The 21,181-nt window shown below is 38.8% G+C and overlaps 1 protein-coding gene across 10 annotated transcripts in view; it reads right to left on the bottom strand.

Moving 5' to 3' along the window:
- ATL2 (atlastin GTPase 2) overlaps window positions 1-21,181 on the bottom strand; it is an 84,631-nt gene that overhangs the window by 5,800 nt on the left and 57,650 nt on the right. For 9 of the 10 annotated variants that reach the window (NM_001330458.2, NM_001330461.2, NM_001135673.4 and 6 more), the window contains 8 exons: window positions 19,132-19,266; window positions 18,782-18,886; window positions 15,531-15,581; window positions 14,855-14,911; window positions 13,398-13,490; window positions 10,556-10,694; window positions 9,626-9,753; window positions 519-575 (listed from right to left, as the gene is read on the bottom strand). In NM_001330458.2, the coding sequence (NP_001317387.1) occupies window positions 519-575; window positions 9,626-9,753; window positions 10,556-10,694; window positions 13,398-13,490; window positions 14,855-14,911; window positions 15,531-15,581; window positions 18,782-18,871 (615 nt within the window). In that variant the 5' untranslated portion in view covers window positions 18,872-18,886; window positions 19,132-19,266. Of the gene's footprint in view, window positions 1-518; window positions 576-9,625; window positions 9,754-10,555; window positions 10,695-13,397; window positions 13,491-14,854; window positions 14,912-15,530; window positions 15,582-17,485; window positions 18,887-19,131; window positions 19,267-21,181 lie in introns of all 10 variants that reach the window. The other variant, NM_001330464.2, reaches the window with a different exon arrangement.

The following is a 21,181-nucleotide window of genomic DNA, read 5'->3' on the forward strand; positions in this document are numbered from 1 at the left end:
TACTATAAAATGGAAAAATAGCCTAAAGTAGTAAATGTTTTAAAATATGAATGGGGTAAAATGACACTGTCCCAAAAGACCACCATTTGAAAGACAGAAAAAGAAGTGAGACTATATTCACTAGAAGTAGCTCTAAATCATTAACACCAAATAAAAATAAGACTTATTCCAAACAACATTCATTGTCAAAGACTCAGAATAGAAGCAGCTTAGTTCAGAGAGGCCCACATCAAGCCATCTTATCAAATAGAAATTTTCCTATACTTTGAGCATCTGAAGAGAAGGTACTGAGGACTCTTATTTCTGGTGGCCTGGACACATGGAAGGCCTACAATCTGCAGTTACAAAAAAAAAATTGTATGAAACCTTAGGACCCACGACACATACGGCCTTAAGCAAAATGTGTTTGCATGCAAAAAAGCACCCCCCATTTTCAGCATTTCTCTCTAAAGCAAAGATTTTTATTCTCCCTCATAAATAAGTATATGTACAACACATATCACTCTCTCTCTCTCTACCTGAAGCATGGACTTTGGATGTGGAAGTTCTTCTCCTTGATAGATTTTGATGTAAGCCTAAAAAGGGAGAAGATTTGTTAGACTGACGGATTATGCAATTTGGCTCCACATCCCCAAAGAAAGAAAAGTCATTAAATATAAAAATAATTAACACCATTAAAAGTAAATTCTAGGCTTTAAAAATCACCTTATTCCAACAAAGTTAACCCTATTCTCAATATTATTAAATTATATGCTGCTAAATAATATCCTAGGTATTTCTATAACAAATATAACATAAAAGTTATAACTCAAAGTTAGATATAAAATGCCATCTTCTTTATGAAAAGAAATTCACAATTACCCCCTATTGCCAGTGTTTTAATATTTTTAAAAAACTTTTTTTTCTCTTTCTTTAGAGATGGGGTCTCACACTGACACTGAGGCTGGAGTGCAGTGGGATGATCACAGCTTACTGCAACCTCGAATTCCTGGGCTCAAGTGATCCTCCTGCCTCAGTTTTCCAAGTGGCTGAAACTACAAGGTGTGTGCCACCACATCCAGCTGAAGAAACAATTTTATCCAGTATTTTACTTTGACCAGCTTAAATTGTATTTCAGCTCAAGAAGGAAAAAAAAAAAAAAAACTAATTTGTGGTTTAAGAGTAAGAAGGAAAAGATAAGAGTTTGTTAGAAGTCCATATAGGGTCTTTCATCTCAACTTTCTTTTTTTTTTTTGAGAAGGAATTTCGCTCTTATTGCCCAGGCTGGAGTGCAACGGCACGACCTCAGCTCACCACAACCTCCGCCTCCTGGGTTCAAGCAACTGTCCTGCCTCAGCCTCCCGAGTAGCTGGGATTACAGGCATGCGCCACCACATCCAGCTAATTTCGTATTTTTAGGAGAGACGGGGTTTCACCACGTTGGCCAGGCTGGTCTCGAACTCCCGACCTCAGGTGATTCGCCCACTTTAGCCTCCCAAAGTGCTGGGATTACAGGCATAAGCCACCGTGCCTGGCTCATCTCAACTTTCCACTGACAAGATTCATTCATAACTGGGAAGGAGGCAGAGCAAGATGGCCAAATAGAAGCCTCCAGTGATCACCACCTCCAAGGAATATCAAATTGACAACTATCTACATAAAAAACCACCTTCATAAGAACCAAAAATCAGGTGAGCAATCACAGTACCTGGTTTTAACTTCAGATCACTGAAAGAGGCACTGAAGAGGATGTGAAAAACAGTCTTGAATCACCTACACCACCCCTCCCCCATCCTCTCAGCAGCAACCACATGGTGTGGAGAGACAATCTATGTGCTTAGGGAAGTCGAAAGCAGTGACTGTGGAATTTTTGCATTGAAACTCAGCGCTGCCCTGCCACAGTGGAAAGAACTCAGCCAGCACCCATGGAGGAAGAATTTAGACCAGCCCTAGGCAGCCAGTCCTGCCACCATGGGCTACAGTGCTCTGAGGTCCTGAATAAACTTGAAAGGCCATCTAGGCCACAAGGACTGCAATTCCTGGGCAGGTCCTGGTGCTGGGCTGGGCTCAGAGCCAGTGGACCTGGGGTGCATATGATATAGTAAGACTCCAGCTGGGGCAGCCAAGGGACTGCTAGTGTCACTCCCCCTACACAAGCTCAGGCAGTGTAGTTCACAGCTCTGAGAGAGAGTCTTTCCTTCTGCGTGAGGAGAGGAGAGGGGAGAGTAAAGAGGACTTTGTCTTGCAATTTGGATACCAGCTCAGCCAAAGTAGAATGCGGCATAAGGCAGAGCCCTAAGGCCCCAATTTCAGTCCCCAGTTCCCAGACAAGATTTCTAAACACACCCTGGGCTGGAAGGGAACCCACTGTCTTGAGGGGTATGACCAAGTCCTGGCAGGGTTCATCACGTGCTGACTCAAGAGCCTCTGGGCTCTGAATAAGCAGTAGTGGTAGCCAGGCAGTACTCACTATGGGCCTTGGGTGAGATTCAGAAATGTGCTGGCTTCAGGTGTGACCCAGCACATTCCCAGATGTTGTGGCTATGAGGAGAGTCTCCTGCTTGAGTAAAGGAGACAAAGGCCAGGTGTGATGGCTCACACCTGTAATCCCAGCAATTTGGGAGGCCAAGGCAGGCGGATCACCAGAGAGCATCTCTGGACCCACCCAAGGCCAGAGGGAACTTGCTAGATTTGCCACCTGCTGATTGTAGAACCTCTGGGCCTTGACTGACCACAGGCAATAACCACACAATAGTCACAATGGGCCTTGGGCAAGACCCATTGCTGTGCTGCCTTCAGGTCTGACCCAGTGAAGTCCCAGGGATGGTGGCCACAATGGTGCTTGTGTCACCCCCTCCCCCAGCTCCAGGCAGCTCAGCACAGAGACAGAGACTCCATTTGTTTGGGAGAATGTAATGGAAGAGAACAAGAGTCTCTGCCTGGTAATCCAGGGAATTCTCCTGGATCTTACCGAAGAGCACCAAGGCAGTACCTCTACAAATCTGCAAGAGCCACAGCATTATGGGCTTGAAATGTCCCTAATGCAGATACAGCTGCAGTGACCAAGATCACAACACCCAAGTCCCTTCAAATAGTTAGAAAGCCTTCCCAAGGATGACAGGTACAAACAAGCCCAGACTGCAAAGACTATAACAAATACCTAACTCTTCAATGTCCAGACACCAACAAATATTCACAAGCATCAAGACCATCCAAGAAAACATGACCTCACTAAACAAACTGAAATAAAGCACCAGTGACCAATCCTGGAGAGACAGAGATAACTGACCTTTCAGAGAATTCAAAATAGCAGTTTTGAGGAAACTCAAAGAAATTCAAGATAACACAGAGAAGGAATTCAGAATCCTTTCAGATAAAGTGAACAAAGAGACTGAAATAATTATAAAGAATAAAGCAGAAATCCTGGATCCGAAAAATGCAACTGACATACTGAAGAATGCATCCAAACCTCTTTTTTATTTTATTTTTTTGAGACAGGGTTTTGCTCTGTCTCCCAGACTGGAGTGCAATGGTGCAATCCTGGCTCACTGCAACCTCTGCATCCCAGGCTCAAAGGATCCTCCTACCTCAGTGTCCCAAGTAGCTGGGACTACACGCGTGCGCCATCATGCCTGGCTAATTTTTGTATTTTTTGTAGAGACAAGGTTTCACCATGTTGCCCAGACTGGTCTCAAGTGATCTGCCCACCTCAGCCTCCCAAAGTGCTAGGATTACAGGCATGAGCCACCTCACCCAGCCTCAGAGCTTAACACAAGACCTGAACAAGCAGAAGAATTAGTCAGCTTGGAGACAGGCTATTTGAAAATACACAGCTGAGACAAAAGAAAAAAGAATGAAAAAGAATGAAGCATGCCTACAAGATCTAGAAAATAGCCCCAAAAGGGCAAATCTAAGAGTTCATTGCCTTAAAGAGGAGTAGCTAAAGAGACAGCGGTAGAAAGTTTATACAAAGCAATAACAAAGAACTACCCAAACCTAGATACCAATATTTAAGAACAAAAGATTATAGAACACCAAGCAGACTTGACCCAAATAAGACTACCTCAAGACATGTAACAAGCAAACTCCCAAAGGTCAACGGTAAAGAATGGATCCTGGCTGGGCGTGGTGGCTCATGCCTGTAATCCCAGCACTTTGGGAGGTCAAGGTGGGGGAACTGCCTGACCCTGGAGTTCAAGACCAGCCTGGACAACGTAGAGAAATGACGTCTCTGTTAAAAACAACAACAGGCCAGGCACGGTGGCTCACACCTGTAATCTCAGCACCTTGGCAGGCTGAGATGGGAGGATCACTTGAGGCCAGGAGTTGGAGACCAGCCTGTTAAACACAGCAAGGCCCCATTTCTATTAAACCACCACCACAACAACAACAAGAAGCACGAATGGATTCTAAATGCATCAACAGAAAAGAAACAAACAACATACAAAAGAGTTCCAACACATCTGGGAGTAGACTTCTCAGCGGAAACCTTACAGGCCAGGAGAGAGTAGCATGACATAAAGTGCTGAAGAAAAAAAACATTTTTCCTAGAATAGTATATCCAGTGAAAATACTTCAAACATGAAGGAGAAATAAAGACTTCCTCAAACAAAAGCTGAGGAATTTTATCAACATCAGACCTGTCCTACAATAAATGTTAAAGAGAGTTCTTCAATCTGAAAGAAAAGGATTTTAATGAGCAATAAGAAATGATTTGAAGGTCCAAAACTCACTGGGAATAGTAAACACACAGAAAAACAGAATATTATTAACAATAATTGTGGTGTGTAAACAACTCATATCCTGAGTAGAAAGACTAAAAGACGAACCTATAAAAAATATTAATTAACAACCACAACTTTTCCAGACATAGACGGTATACTATCAATAGAAACAACGAAAAGTTTAAAAAGTGGGGGGATGAAGTTAAAGTGTAGAATTTTTATTAGTTTTCTCTTTCCTTGTTATTTAGTTTGTTTAGGCAATCAGTGTTATCAGTTTAAAATAAATATATTATAGTTGCAAACCTCATGGTAACCTCAAAAGACATACAACAGATACACAAAAAATAAAAAGAAATTAAAACATACCACCAGAGAAAATCACCTTCACTAAAAGGAAGACAGGCAGGTAGGAAGACCACAAAACCACCAGAAAACAGTAACAAAATGACAGAGGTTAACTCCTTACTTATCAGTAACATTGAGTGTAAATGGGCTAAACTCTCCAATTAAAAGGCACAGAGTGGCTGAATGGGTTTTAAAAAATGGTGATACACACTTCATCTATAAAGACACAGACTGAAAATAAAGGTATGGAAAAAGATACTCCATGCAAATGGAAACCAAAAAAAAAGAGCAGAAGAAGCTACATTTATATCAGCCAAAGAAGGTCATTATATAATGATAAAGGGATCAATTCAGCAAGAGGATATAACAATTGTAAATATATATGCACCCAACACTGGAGCACCCAGATATATAAAGCAAGTATTATTAGAAACTAAAGAAAGAGGACCGGGCGCAGTGGCTCATGCCTGTAATCCCAGCACTTTGGGAGGCCAAGGCAGGTGGACCACTTGAGGGCAGGTGGACCACTTGACGTCAGGAGTTTGAGACCAGCCTGGCCAACATGGTGAAACCCCATCTCTACTAAAAATACAAAAAATTAGCTGGGCATGGTGGTGCGTTACTGTAGTCTCAGCTACTCAGGAGACTGAGGCAGGAGAATCACTTGAACCTGGGAGGTAGAGGTTGCAGTGAGCCGAGACTGCTCCGCTGCACTCCAGCCTGGGCAAAACAGCGACACTTGGTCTCAAAAAAAAAATCAAAAAAATTGAAATTATATCAAGTATCTTCTCTGACCACAATGGAATAAAATCAATAACGAGGAATTTTGGAAACTATACAAACACATGGAAATTATATTAATACAATAGGCTCTTGAATGACCACTAGATCAGTGAAGAAATTAAGAAAGAAATAAACACATTCTTGAAACAAATGAAAACGGAAACACAACATACCAAATATATGGGATACAGCGTTAAGCAGTACTAAGAAACTATATGGTAATAAGTGCCTACATCAAAAAAGAGGAAACACTTCAAATAAACAACCTAACCATACATCTTAAAAAAACAGAAAAGGAAGAGCAAACTAAACCCAAAATTAGAAGAAGTTAGCGAAATTGAAATAAAAACAATACAAAAGATCAATGAAGCAAAAAGTTGATTTTTTAAAAAGATAAACAAAGTCAACAAACCTTTAGCCACACTAAGAAAAAAAGAGATGACCCAAATAAATAAAATCAGAGATGAAAAAGGAGACATTGCAACTGATACCACAGAAATCCAAAGGATCATTAGAGGCTACCATGAACAACTATATGCCAATAAATGGGAAAGCCTAGAAGAAATGTATCAATTCCTAGACATATACAACCTACCAAGATTGATCCATGAATAAATCTAAAACCCGTACAGACCAATAACAAGTAACGAGATCAAAGCCATAATAAAAAGTCTCCCAACAAAGAAAAGCCCGAAAGCTAATGGCTTCATTGCTGAATTTTATCAAACATTTAAAGAACTAATACCAATCCTACTCAACTATTCCAAAAACCAGAGGAGGAGGGAATATTTCCAAACCAATACTACAAGGCCAGTATTACCCTGATACCAAAACCAGACAAAGACTCAGCAAAAAATTACAGGCCAATATCCCTGATGAACACTGTTGCAAAAATCCTCAACAAAATACTAGCAAACTGAATTCAACAACACATTAAAAAGATCATTCATCATCACCTAGGGTCAGGCAGGGATGCAAGGACAGTTCAACATACACCAATCAATCAATCAATCAGTCAGTCAATGAGTGTGATACATCGTTATCACCAGAATGAAGAACAAAAACCATATGACCATTTCAATTGATGCTGAAAAAGCACTGGATAAAATTCAACATCCCTTCATGGTAAAAATCCTCAAAAGGTACAGAAGAAACAGATCTCAACATAATAAAAGCTGTATACAACAGACCCACAGCTAGTATCTTACTGAACTGGGAAAAAATTGAAAGCCTTTCCTTTAAGATCTGAAACAAAACAAGGATACCCACTTTCACCACTGCTATTCTACACAGTACTGGAAGTTGTACTTCAGTACAAACTTTGAGAAAATGACAGTGGCTTCAATAAATGGTGCTGGGAAAACTGAATATCCATATGCAGAGGAATGAAACTAGACCCCATCTCTAGCCATATACAAAAATCAAATCAAAATGGATTAAAGACTTAAACCTAAGACCCAAACTATGAAACTACTAAAAGAACACATTGGTGGCCAGGTATGATGGCTCACACCTGTAATCCCAGCACTTTGGGAGGCAGATGCAGGCAGATCACCTGAGATCAGGAGTTCGAGACCAGCCTGGCCAACATGGTGAAACCCTGTCTCTACTAAAAATACAAAAATCAGCTAGGCATGGTGGCAGCTGCCTGTAATCCCAGCTACTTTTTTGATGTGCAAAACCTTTTAACTTGATAATGTGCTTGCAGGGTATTACTGAAGAAATCTTTTCCCAGAGCAATGTCCTGGAGGGTTTCCCCAGTGTTTTCTTTTCTTTTTTTTTTTGAAATGGAGCCTTGCTCTGTCGCCCAGGCTGAGGCCAGGCGAATTGCTTGAACCTGGGAGGCGGACGTTACAGCAAGCCGAGATCACGCCACTGCAGTCCAGCCTGGGTGACAGAGCAACGCTCCATTTCAAAAAGAAAAAAAGAAGAAAACATTGGGGAAACCTTCCAGGAAATTGGTCTGGTCTGGGAAAAGATTTCTTCAGTAATACCCTACAAGCACAGGCAACCAAAGCAAAAATAAACGAATGGGATCATATCAAGTTAAAAAGCTTTTGCACATCAGAAAAGTGAAGACGCAACCCACAGACTGGGAGAAGACATTTGCAAACTACTAGTCTGATAAGGGATTAGTAACCAGACTATATAAGGAGTTCAAACAACTCTACAGGGAAAAGAAAAAAAAATCAAATGATCTGATCAAAAAACGGGCAAAAGATCTGAACAGACATTTCTCAAAAGGAGACAAACAAATGGGATACAGGATATGAAAACATCACTGATCATCAGAGAAATGCAAATCAAAACTACAGAAAGATATCATCTTTCTCCATTTAAAATTGTTTTTATCCAAAAGACAGGCAATAACAAATGTTGGCAAGGATGTAGAGAAAAGGGAATCTTCGTACACTGTTGGCAGAAAGGTAAATTAGTACAACCACTATGGAGAACAGTTTGGGGGTTCCTCAAAAGACTAAAAATAAAACGACCATATGATCCAGCAATGCTGCTGCTAGGTATATACCCAAAAGAAAAAAATCAGTATATAGAAGATACATCTGCACTTTCATGTTTACTGCAGCACTAGTCACTACAGCTACAATTTGGAAGCAACCTGTGTCTATCAATATACGAATGGATAAAGAAATGTGGTACATATACACGATGAAGTACTACTCATCCATATAAAAGAATGAGATCCTGTCATTTCCAACAACATGGTGGAACTGGAGGACTTTATGTTAAGTGAAATAAGCCAGACACAGAAAAAACAAACTTCACATGTTCTCACTTATTTGTGGGAGCTAAAAATTTAAACAACTGAACTCATGCGATAGAGAGTACTAGAAAGATGGTTACTAGAGTCTAGGAAAGGTAGTCAGAGGGTGGAGGGGAGGCAGAGATGGTTAATGGGTACAAAAATATAGTTAGAATAAGATCTAGTATTTGATAGCATAACAATGTAGTTACAGTCAATAATAACTTACTATACATTTTAAAATAACAAAGAGTATAATTGGATTGTCTGTAACATAAGGAAGGGATACAGGCTTGAGGTGATGGACACCCTATTTACTCTAATATGATTATTAGACATTGTATGCCTGTATCAAAAATATCTCATGTACCCCATAAGTATATATACTACGTACCCACAAAAATTAAAAATTAAAAGTAAAAATAAATTTTAAAAAATTCATTCATAACTAAACAAAGATAATATGAGAGTAACTATCAAGTATCCAATAAGTGAACAAAATACACTCTTAGTTAAAACTACTACAAATAATACAACCTTCCACAGCGGTCTTGTTCTGGCAGGCAAGCTATAAAGACTAGAGAAGAACAGAGGGAAAAAAAAAAAACCTAAGAGTACTTTACTTGAACCAATATAAATACTTTCAGCTGTTCTTATCAAGTCCTCAGAACTCTGAGGGAGTGTTTTTGTGAGAACTTAGGATGTAAAATTATGCTTTCCATTCCTATTATCATTCACTAATGACAGAGTAGTATTAGAGTATGATGAATGGCTTGTTCTCTCCATATCTGAGATGGAGAAAAAGTAAGATAATTCTGTAAATAAATTAAATCACTGTCTAGGAGACAGAAATCTGCTATAATCTTTTAAATATCCTTAAATACAGATACATCTAATTCAAGGCAGAAAGATAAATCACAAATCTTACTCTTTTTTGTTTTAAAATAAAGACAAGAAATTTCTTATACATACAGATGAGTTTTAAGTCAACTACATTTCTATCTTAGACAAAACTGTTTAAGAGCTCACCTACCTTAAAATATTCTACAAGATCTCTACAAGTGACTTTAGATCCACTTATCTCTTTTTCTACCAAATTTTCAGGGGCAAGCAGCAATGGAACCAGATTTCGAAGCTCTCGTTTAAAGTCTTCATCAATATCTAGAAAACAAAAAATTGAGCAACATATTAGTCCAAAAAAAATTAGGTCCCCACTGGTACGATTTCATAAAATTCTGTTTTATGAAATAAGAATACATAGTATCTATTACTGAAGTGGATTCATTTTTTAAAAAAAAGCTCATCCAACATGCCATATCTCATAGGAAAAAATATAATCCCCCTTACTCTACTAGCCCATTTTCCCCAACCCCCTAGTAACACTGCCAGTTCAAATAACAAATAAAACATCAATAAATTTGTGGACTACCAAGACAAATTTCACATTTAGTATTAACGAAAATGTCCTTTTCAAGAGGCAAACAATTCATAAAATTGTATTAAATTTTACTACTAGATTATGTTTTACCAGCCATACTGTAAAAGTTTTGTCAATCCCCAAATGTTTTGCCAACACACTCAAAATAATCCTACAACATACATAAACTGTACTATCACTCCTGAAACAGACACTTATATCTGATTTCATCAATATAATAAAATGATAAAGCCTTTTAGCAGACTGCAATCAATTGAAAAGAAATGCTCTCAGCCTTCAGAATTTTCAGGACATCACTGCTGAGCAACAGACATTATAAAATAGGTTAATCAATATGCTAGACAGCTGCAAACAAATCAATGGAATGCTAGAGAAACAACACAGAGCATTACAACCACAACATGAACAATGCATCCAAACATTCTCCAGTATAAGACAGGACATTTAAGGCGTCATGTATTTTCTTAAAAAACTTTCCACCTCTAATAAATAAGTTCAGATTTTAGCAAGAATGGGAATTCCCACCTTTCAATCTCCCATCAAAACTAGGATTAGTTGCAACTTTAAGACCAGGATGTGGCAAAAGGAAGCAACCAAGATTTGAGAAACAATTGTGTATGTGCTTCCTTACATTCTGAAGCTCTTCATGTTGATTTTGTTTTACCTGAGGGCGGAGAGAGACAGGTGAAATTGTAAACAGAAGAAAGAAAATTTTTTTAAAGAAAATGCACACAGACTCGCATGCACACTATGCACACTTAACTCAGATGGTACTCCTAAGGAGTCTTTTTTGACAATACAAAAAATTATGAAGGCCCATTTCTGACCACTTTGTTAAGACCCCACTTTTTTTTTTTTTTTTTTTTTTTTAAAGACAGAGTTTCGCTCTTGTTGCCCAGGCTGGAGTGCAATGGTGCAATCTCGGCTCACCGCAACCTCCGCCTCCCAGGTTCAAGTGATTCTCCTGCCTCAGCCTCCCGAGTAGCTGGGATTACAGGCGTGCACCACCATGCCCGGCTAATTTTGTATTTTTAGTAGAGACAGGGTTGGTCAGGCTGATCTTGAACTTCCAACCTCAGGTAATCCACCCGCCTCGGCCTCCCAAAGTGCTGGGATTACAGGCATGAGCCACCGCACCCAGCCAACCCCACATTTTCTTAAACCACAAAAGATGTTTTTCCCAAGTAAGCTGCCTGGAACAGCAAAAACTACAAATAAGGTAGTTAATCACAGTATCTAATAACCAAATAACAAATTATGGCTGTGACTTATACACCAGTAAATAAATTAAGAATTTACCTTTAAAGTACTTACAACAGCAACAAAACAGAACAAAACAAAAAAAAAAGTATAAATTTGCCTACAAATAAAAAGTTTAGCCCCTGAACAAAGTAAAAGCTAAGATAAAAAAAATTACAGTGCAGTACAAAGACCTTAGAAATGTGTTAGAATTTCAGGTCCCTCTCTACATGATTATTTATGATTTATGCTAGTTACCAGAATTTTGAGAAGGGAAACTGCCATGTATTAGGGGGAAAAAAATCTTAAACTTAGAAACATTTTAGATAATTACTCATTTATCCCAATATAACTCACACAGTCTCCTAAACACTCTTCTGGAAAACAATTTTAACAAAATATGCGCTATTTATAATTAAAACCTGGAAACTACCTAAATCTCCCATCAACAGCAGAATGGAAAAACTGTTGTCTATTCATTCAATAGATACTATACAGCAATGAGAATAAATAAATTAAACTATATGCAACATGGATTAACCTCAGAAACATAATATTGGGTAAAAAAAGCTAGACTCAAATACATTCTGTATGTGATTCCATCCACATAAAGTACAAAAACAAAGCCTGTGAGAAGTCAGGATACTGGTAGAGGGTTTTGGGGGAAGGTTGCTGTATGGAGGTGAGTGCTTCTAGGTGCTGGCTAAATGGCTATGTTCATTTTTTATAAATTCATCAAGCTACACACTTATGATTTGAGCAATTTTCTGAATATATGTATAACATTTCAATAAAAAGTTTAAAAACTTTCTTGTCTTTGAGTTACATAATTCTGAGTTTAGTTAGTATGTCTATTGTGCTTTGTGTTAATTTCTTCTGAACAAACCAGAAACAGAAAATGCTGATGACTGAAATTATTTCCAAAAGTGGGGTCTGGAAATGCCTTTCAAATAATCTAAGAATGTTGAATTGGTTTTAATCTCATTTTAAAACTAAAAGAAAATTATATCATACCCCAAGTCTTTAATGCAGTTGAGAAACCAAATGCATCATTCCCATAGACAAATAAAATCTTATCAATGAAAGACAGCACCCTCCTAATGAATAAAGGGGTCTTTATGTATCCTTTGTGTGTGTGAGTAGATGGGTAGCCTGTAAGTATCTGACCTGCAGGTTTCCCAAATTGATATGGTTTGGCTCTATGTCCCCACCCAAATCTCATCTCAAATTGTAATGCCCATGTGTCGGGGGAGGGGCCTGGTTGGAGGTGATTCATGGGAGCAGAAATCCCCCTTGCTGTTCTTTTAACAGTGAGTGAGTTATCACGAGATCTGGTTGTTAAAAAGTATGTGGCACTTCCCCCTTCACTCTCTCTCTCCTGCCATCTTGTGAAGAAGGTGCTTGCTGGCTGGGTGCGGTGGCTCACGCCTGTAATCCCAGCACTTTGGGAGGCCGAGGTAGGCCGATCACAAGGTCAGGAGTTCAAGACCAGCCTGGCCAACATGGTGAAACCCCGTCTCTGCTAAAAAATACAAAAAATATGCCAGGCGTGGTGGCGGGCGCCTGTAATCCCAGCTACGGGAGGCTGAGGCAGGAGAATCGCTTGAACCCGGGAAGCGGAGGTTGCAGTGAGCCAAGATCGTGCCATTGCACTCCAGCCCAGGCAATAGTGTGAGACTGTCTTAAAAAAAAAAAAAAAAAAAGAAGGTGCTTGCTTTTCCCTTCACCATCCGCCATGATTGTAAGTTTCCTGAGGCCTCCCAGTCATGCTTCCTGTTAAGCCTGTGGAACTGTGAGTCAATTAAACCTCTTTTCTTCATAAATTACCCAGTCTCAAGTAGTTCTTTATGCTGTGTGAGAACAGACTAATACACAAGTACTTCCATGGGGGGCTACCTTTAGGAATAAAGGATCATGATCCTTAATTTTGATTCAAGGACACTGTCTTCTTTGGTAGGAATGCAACCACTTTACTTTTCATCAATTACAAACAGAGTCACTTGGGCTAACCTGGAATACTTTATTCCAACGACACGTAAATACTGGTAATGTGACCAGCAGTCCGGACAGCCCACCCGTTTGCCTAGCTTGGTGCTTATGTTCTCCTCTTTAAGCATTAGGGTCTTACCTGTAATCTCTTTTCAAGAAATTGCTTTCCACCTTCCAAACCATATGAATGTTCATAAGGATAGCTCCAATCTCGAATCAAAAACATTAATGTCTATACACAGAAAAAATAAAAATTGTTTATTTTACAATAAAGAAAATTTACGAAAAAATCACAACTCTTAACAATTGAAGCCTCTCTTACTCTCCTAAACAATCCTTATCAAAAGTTATAGTAACTAAATGGTCAGTACTGGTCATGGTTATATCAAGGACCCACTTAAACAACATTCTCAGGCCCTATACCAAGCAATCGCTGCCACTGAAGAACTTCACTAAATATAAAGAAAGAGTCACCACAAGCAGTAATACAGGACTTTAAAAATGAAAAATGGGTGTATCAGGACACACGGATCATAATTTTAAATCATGGTTGTGTAACTACAAGACCAACTAATTCTAGATGGCTATCTAGACTGATTATAGATCTGGGGTCAATAAGGACATTTTCACTCACAGAGGATGTTTTTACTCATATAGGGTTAGATTTCTCAAATGCTGACATTTTGGGTCAGCACTGCTGACATTTTGGGTCAGTTAATTCTTAGTTGTGTGTGGCTGTCCTGTGTATTGTAGAACGTTGAACCATATTTCTGGCCTCTATATGCTAGATACCAAGAGGCACTAAGCTCTCCCACAAAACTGTGACAACCAAAAATGTCTCCAGACATTAGCAAATGTCCCCTTGGGTGGCAAAATGATCCCAGTTCAGAAAAAACTGATATAGGCCAAATAGGGTATATTTCACCTATATATCCAAAAACGAAGGCATCATCTGCTCAACTACTTAATAAAAGTGACCATACTAGCCAGACAAGAGTGAGGCAGAATCAATGTAAACCCATTAAGATTAACAATCAGTAGCAATGCTGTCATACCGGAAAGGCTTCACACACTTAGGAGCAAACATGGTAGAGTCATGCTCTCCTACTGTAACTGCAGCTCACCAAACAGTATTAATGGCAACTTACAAATTACACTTGCTTCAAAAAATAAACTATCTGGAACTTTTCTATATGAAACCAAAATAAAGAGTAACAGAACTAATTTCAACTTGTAGTAAACCACAAAAAAGAAACCTGTAACATTCTGTAGTTACCACGTATAAAAAAAAAATGGCATGACTGTCATATATTTCCTATTGTCTTAAGTTTAGAATAACATCTGTTAAGAGAAACATTACTCCCCTTAATCTAAGTGAAAGCATTAAGAATTAGCCTAGATTCATTTATTCTATTTATCCTGTTCGCCTACTGATAAGTATGCTGATGATACTACCAAAGGTTAGTTTCGATTGCACTGAATCTGTTGCTAGCAATGAGTCTATTGTAATATCCTGGTGTCTCCAAAATTACAAACTGAGGTGGCTTCACAACTTCTCATAGGCTAATCTTTAAAATGTTAGAATAACTTTTTTACCTGAAATGGTTTCTGGTAGATTTCTTCCATCGCAAGTCTTCCATACTCTGTAAATAACTATTAAATAGAGTTAGTTAAAATAATGCCTCTAAAGAGATTGAAAGAAGACATGTGTAAACCTGTTCCACACCAAAGCTCCAGGTACCAGAACCTTTAAAATCATTTCAAAGCCAAACATTTAATTTTCTAACACACTAGGTATGTACAAAATTTCTTCCAGTTAAGAAGTCATACACCAGTTTAAACCCATATAACATTCAATCGTGTTACCAGTATTATAGGCTTCCAAGTGTAAATTCATAATAAAGTGAGAATTAAATTTCAATAGTTGGCACATTTTCTTTAAGAAATATGTGCTCGCAGACGGGCGCAGCGGCTCACGCCGGGTAATCCCAGCACTTTGGGAGGCCGAGGCGGGCGGATCACCCAAGGTTAGAAGTTCAAGACCAGCCTGACCAACATGGTGAAACTTCATCTCCACTAAAAATACAAAATTAGCCAGGCATGGTGGCACATGCCTGTAATGCCAGCTACTTGGGAGGCTGAGGCAGGAGAATCCCTTGAACTTGGGAGGGGGAGGTTGCAGTGAACCAAGATTGTGCCACCGTACTCTAGTCTGGGGAACAAGAGCGAAACTCCATCTCAAAAAATAAAAATTAAAAAAAGAAATACGTACTTGCAAATGTTGAAGATCATCTTCTTGAATATTCTGAGACAGATTATATACCTGTTGAAACAAAATTTATTTTGTTTTTTATTAGTGTTTTGTTCTGAATACCCAGCTTCTGTATAACTTTACTTGTGGAAAAAAGGTTATTTTGTATCTCAGCGCAAAGGAATCATTTAACTACTATCTTGACAACTGACATGTGAAAAGGATTTTCTCTTTTTTCCTAACAATAGTCAAGATAGAATATTAAGGAAGAAGCAGTGGTGGTAAAATATGCAAAAAGCATGAATATATGTATACTCATGGCCTAAAAGTGGTAGAAGAACAAGTGTGGTATCTAGTAGGTTTCTTGTACTCCTTCTCTAAGCTCTTTAATGTTAAGATACGATCATTTTTTAAAGAGTGTAGGTTATTTCCACCATCATTTTTCTAAATTAGTGAATATAAGGGGCAACAGTTTACAAAGATAAATTCTTCCCTGGTACAATCAGAGTATACAGTTACTCAGGGGTACCTCCACTACTACTGACTCTAGTGTGGTTCTCTTTTTACTCACACTCCTCAGTTTACTTACTCATCAGTTTTCACTTACACTCAACATGACAATTTTACTGGCCTGTGGAAGCTAATAAAAGTAACAGTAGGTGGCACTCTTGCCCTTTCCAGAATTTTTTGGAGGAGACTAGAGTTGATAAAGGAGGGTCTAAGTATCCTCAGGAAACGGGGATTTTCATCCATTAATTCTAAGACAGATCTTTAGACAGTAATCTACACTGCCACAGGAGAAAAGTGGCCATCAACAAATATCACCTCTGCTAAGAAATAACTTACATCTTAGGAACCAGGGTGACTCCGAAGAGAGAACAATCTGTTCTAGGAGCAAATAAGTGATACTCTGGCTAAACCACTTGGAGGTCAAGAATATAGTCAATTTAGGCCAGCAAACCTAAAATGATATTCTTAGCTACTAATTCCAAACAAGGATTTAAAAAGTAATTGATGACTGAGGTGATTAAACTTTAGATTTTAACATAAACCCTGACACCATGACCAACCTATGTGGGCCTCTGCTTTTAGAAAATAGGTCTGGATCCTTTCATTGTCAGGGCCAGGTTGCAAACAGCAAACAGAGAAAGAGATTTATTTAACTTAGATCATTAGTACTTAGCATACTGTCTTGTATGTAACAGGTGCTCAGTATGTATTTGTTGAAGGAATAAATGACAAGAAGATCAAATTATCATTTATCTATCAGCCAGATATCTTACATAAGGAAAGAAAACTACCCCCCCCACCCAAAGGCAAGGAAGAAAATAATCATAATCTTAATCTTCTTGGTTATTTATACTTTACAAAGCACTTTCATATGCATTATCTCATTTAGCTCTCATTTCTGACTGCACACAACAACCACATCCAAGATAGGCAAGATGAGTAAAACTCATTTTACAGACAACAAAGTGGCTGCACAGCTTTAAGTGGCTGTCTAAAACCAGGTCTCTTACTATCAAAAAGTTGAATAAATAAACAAAAAAAGACTAAGGGATAAGTTTTAGGACAGAGAACTCGAGAACTCCCTCTAGAGCCAGCTAACCTGAGGGGCTTCTGCTTGCTTCAAGGGAATCACAGCTGTGCCATCTTGCAAGATCAGAGAAAAAAAGAGACTTAGAGGGTCCCCACCAGCGTCACTTAGTGGGTAATGACAAATATCCCAACCCTATAATAAACTGAAGCCAAGCTGAAGAGTATTCTTCTTTTAGCTCAGGTTAACAGCCAACCTTCTTTCCACTCTGATGGCTAGGTACTTCAAACTGAGGAAGGAGGAAAATGGGAGCTTAGAGAGACGAGTCATATGTTCCAGACATTACTGGAAAGCATAAAAAAATCCAAGACACTGTGACAGCATCACCTATGATCTACCATTGATAAGAACAATTTCTTATCTTGGGAGGATCACATACCCATTTTAAAAAAATATTTGCAAATATACTTCTTGATACACCATCACCAGCTGGGCCTAACCGCCATACTTCAATAATTCATTTTTCAGAGATGTATCAGCCACAGATGATCTCAGAAAAGAAAAAGTAAAGAAACACCAAATGACATGTGGTAGTTTAATTCAGTCCAATCCATCTAAATTATACAGAAAAGAAATGGCCTAGCCTGAAGAAACTAGAACCGGATAGAACACCAAACACAATTTGAATATAAGTGAAAAAGAGAAGGGATTTTATCCCTTCCTAAATGAAGGTGCTAAAAATCCTCAGTTTATTATTACATAAGCCTTGTCTGGGTTTCCTAAATTAAACATTAAGTAATTACTCTGCTTTTATCTCCTTTAGTTCAAATAACTGAGTACCACTTGTCATAGATACAGAATAAAAAACTAGACTTCTAAGCTTAATTACCTGGGTTTTTTGTTTGTTTTAGCCAAAAAAACAAAAATATACTCTCCATATTACTGTGTCTGGTAGCCATCTATCTGATTTCAATTACAGATAACATGTGATATCTTTTCCTTTAAAAAAAAAAGTATGTATTCCATAATGAAAAACTAAAGAGACTGGTTGTTGGTTTATTGCATCCTTTGTAACTATCCAAAGTACAAAATTTCACATCATAAGCCAGAAAACCATGCATGGAAATGTAAATAACCAATAAGAAATGTAAATAGCTCTCAAGAAATGTAAATAGCTTCCTTTTTTTTCCCTTCAATCAAAAGGCATTTTGCCAGCACAAGGTGGCATATGCTGACAGTCCCAGCTACTCAGGAGGCTGAGGCAGGAGGATCACTTCAGCCCAAAAGCTAGAGTGTGCATGATCACACCCATGAATAGCCACTGCACTCCAACCTGGGCAACATAGTGAGAATCCATCTCAAAAAAAATTAAAAAGGCATTTTCAAGAGGGGCAAATGCCAGGCTCAGTGGCTCACGCCTGTAATCCCAGCACTTGGGGAGGCCGAGGTGGGCGGGTCACCTGAGGTCAGGAGTTCGAGACCAGCCTGCCCAACGTGGTGAAACCCGTCTCTACTAAAAATACAAAAAAATTAGCTGGGCATGGTGGCGGGGGCCTGTAATCTCAGCTACTCGGGTTAGGAGAATGAACCCAGGAGGCAGAGGTTGCAGTGAGCCGAGATCACGCCACTGTACTCCAGCCTGGGCAACAAGAGTGAAACTCTGTCTCAAAAAAGAAAAAAAAAAGGGGCCAAATGATTACGTGAACTGATCGCACCACTTAATCTTGTGTCTCACCTGGACAGAGCTAGTCATAGTGCTCAGAGCAAACACCGTTGCACAGTCTTTGATAGTTGACTGGCTATCAAAGGCACCCTGGGTATCCATAAGCAGCACAGCAACCTAGGAATTTGAGAGTTTAAAATATTTAGTAAAACAGTTGCCAAAAATGACTATAAAAAAAATCAAATGATAAATTTGAAAAGCAGTAATTAAATCAAGAAAAGTACTTATATCTCATACATTTGACATAATAATCCGTATGTTAAAGTTATCAAACATTAATAGTTCTGTGTTGTTTTGATTTTTAATACTGGAAAATAGCCCAAGAAAGAATACAGGGTAGAAAAGTATAAACAGAATTTTACTTTAGTTCCATTAGGTCTGTCAATCACAAATACTTCATTCCAAACTTGTATGCCTGTTGTTTCTCTTTCACAGCCACCTCGCCATGTAAAGCCTGTCAATGGTTCATTGTTTCCACCAATCCAACTTTGAGAATCCTGTTAAAGTCAAGGATAAATGTAAAATACAACACAATTAAGAAATAAAAGAAACCAAAAAATCACCCATTCTTTATTTTACAGATGGGGAAGCTAAACCCGGAAAGACAAAAAAAACACTGTGTAACAAACAAGTAGTTACAAAGCAGTCCTTAAATCCCATGTGGGGTTCTTTTTCTTATAGAGACGTGGTCTCCTCCAAACTCGAATCTTCTCAAATCAGCTCACACTACTACTCTCTAGGCTTCTAAATAAGTGGGGTTATACTCACTTTCCCCCTTTTCTGAAAGATATCCTGGCTGGGCATGACAGCTCATGCCTGTAATCCCAGCACTTTGGGAGGCTGAAGTGGGCATATCACTTGAGGCCAGGAATTTGAGACCAGCCTGGCCAACGTGGCAAAACGCCATCTTTACAAAAAGTACAAAAATTAGCCAGGCGTGGCGGCACACTCCTGTAGTCCCGGCTACTCAGCAGGCTGAGGTAGGAGGATCACCTGAACCTGGGAGGTTGAGGCTACAGTGAGCTGAGATTGTGCCACTATACTCCAGCCTGGGTGACAGAGTGAGATCCTGCCTCAAAAACAAAAAAAAAAAAGAGAGAGAGAGAGAGAGACAGAGAAATATTTCCTAAAATGTTAAAAATCATAAAAAACTCGGCACCAATTATTTTAACATGTTGTTACACAGATAAGCAAAACTAAGTTCCAGGTAGAATGACTGTCAAAACAGCACTGCTTTCTCAGAATAGCTTACAGTAAGTTTTCATACTGCCTTCATTTCCTCTTTAAAAAATAATCAATTTTAGGCTGGGTGCAGTGGCTCATGCCTGTAACCCTAGCACTTTGGGAGGACGAGGCAGGTGGCTCACCTGAGGTCAGGAGTTCGAGACCAGCCTGGCCAACATGGCGAAACTCCATCTCTACTAAAAATACAAAAATTAGCCAGGTGTTGTGGCATATGCCTATAATCCCAGCTACTCAGGAGGCTCAGGCAAGAGAATCACTTGAACCCGTGGGCAGAGGTTGCAGTGAGCAGAGATCGCGCCACTGCACTCCAGCCTGGCCAAAAGAGCGAAACTGCGTCTCAAAAACAAAAACAAAAAAAATCAATTTAAAAAATAACCCCAAGACTTGTTTGGAGCCTGATTTAAACAAACCATCTATTTAAAACGTCTTTTTTAAACCAACAGGAAAATATGAACCCAAACTGGTTATCTCATTAGATGGTGTTAAATTAGGGTAAGGAAGATTGTTTGGTGTGCTAATGATACTGTGGTTAGGAAAAAAAAGAGTCCTTATCTATTAGATACTCAAGTATCTGCAGTGAAAGGATATGCCTGGCATTTGCTTTAAAATATTCCGGGAGGTAAGGAAAAAAGAGAACAGATAAAACAAGACCAGCAAAATGTTGACAAATACATTGGAGTTCATTATACAATTCTCTTTATTTTAGGGTATGTTTAAAATTTTCCATAATAAAAGTTTTTAACTAGAACCACAGGGCTAAATTGTTATTATGAAATAATACAAAAGTTAACATATAAGGTAATTTTTCTAGAAAATTAAATGTGGGACATAATAAATGAATACCTTTGACAGACGTCAAGATCCCTAAAGTTTAGTATACTTAAAGCCCACATAGCCTTTACTCAATGTACCCCACAGGAAAAACGCCTTTGTTTCAGAAATACTTCTAATAAGCTTGGATATCTAGTCTAAAACAAATTACAAAGCGTGAATTAGGAGTGGAGAGATGGTTAAGACAGGACCAATGAGGGATGAAGCAATTTATGAAAAGCAGACACACAGTGGCAAAAACAAAAACAAAAACAAAACAGTGTCAGCCAGGCACAGTGGCTCACGCCTGTAATCCCAGCACTTTGAGAGGCTGAGGCAGGTGGATCACTTGAGGCT

The sequence above is a fragment of the Homo sapiens genome, chromosome 2, assembly GCF_000001405.40.
Source record: "Homo sapiens chromosome 2, GRCh38.p14 Primary Assembly".
NCBI lineage: Eukaryota > Metazoa > Chordata > Mammalia > Primates > Hominidae > Homo > Homo sapiens.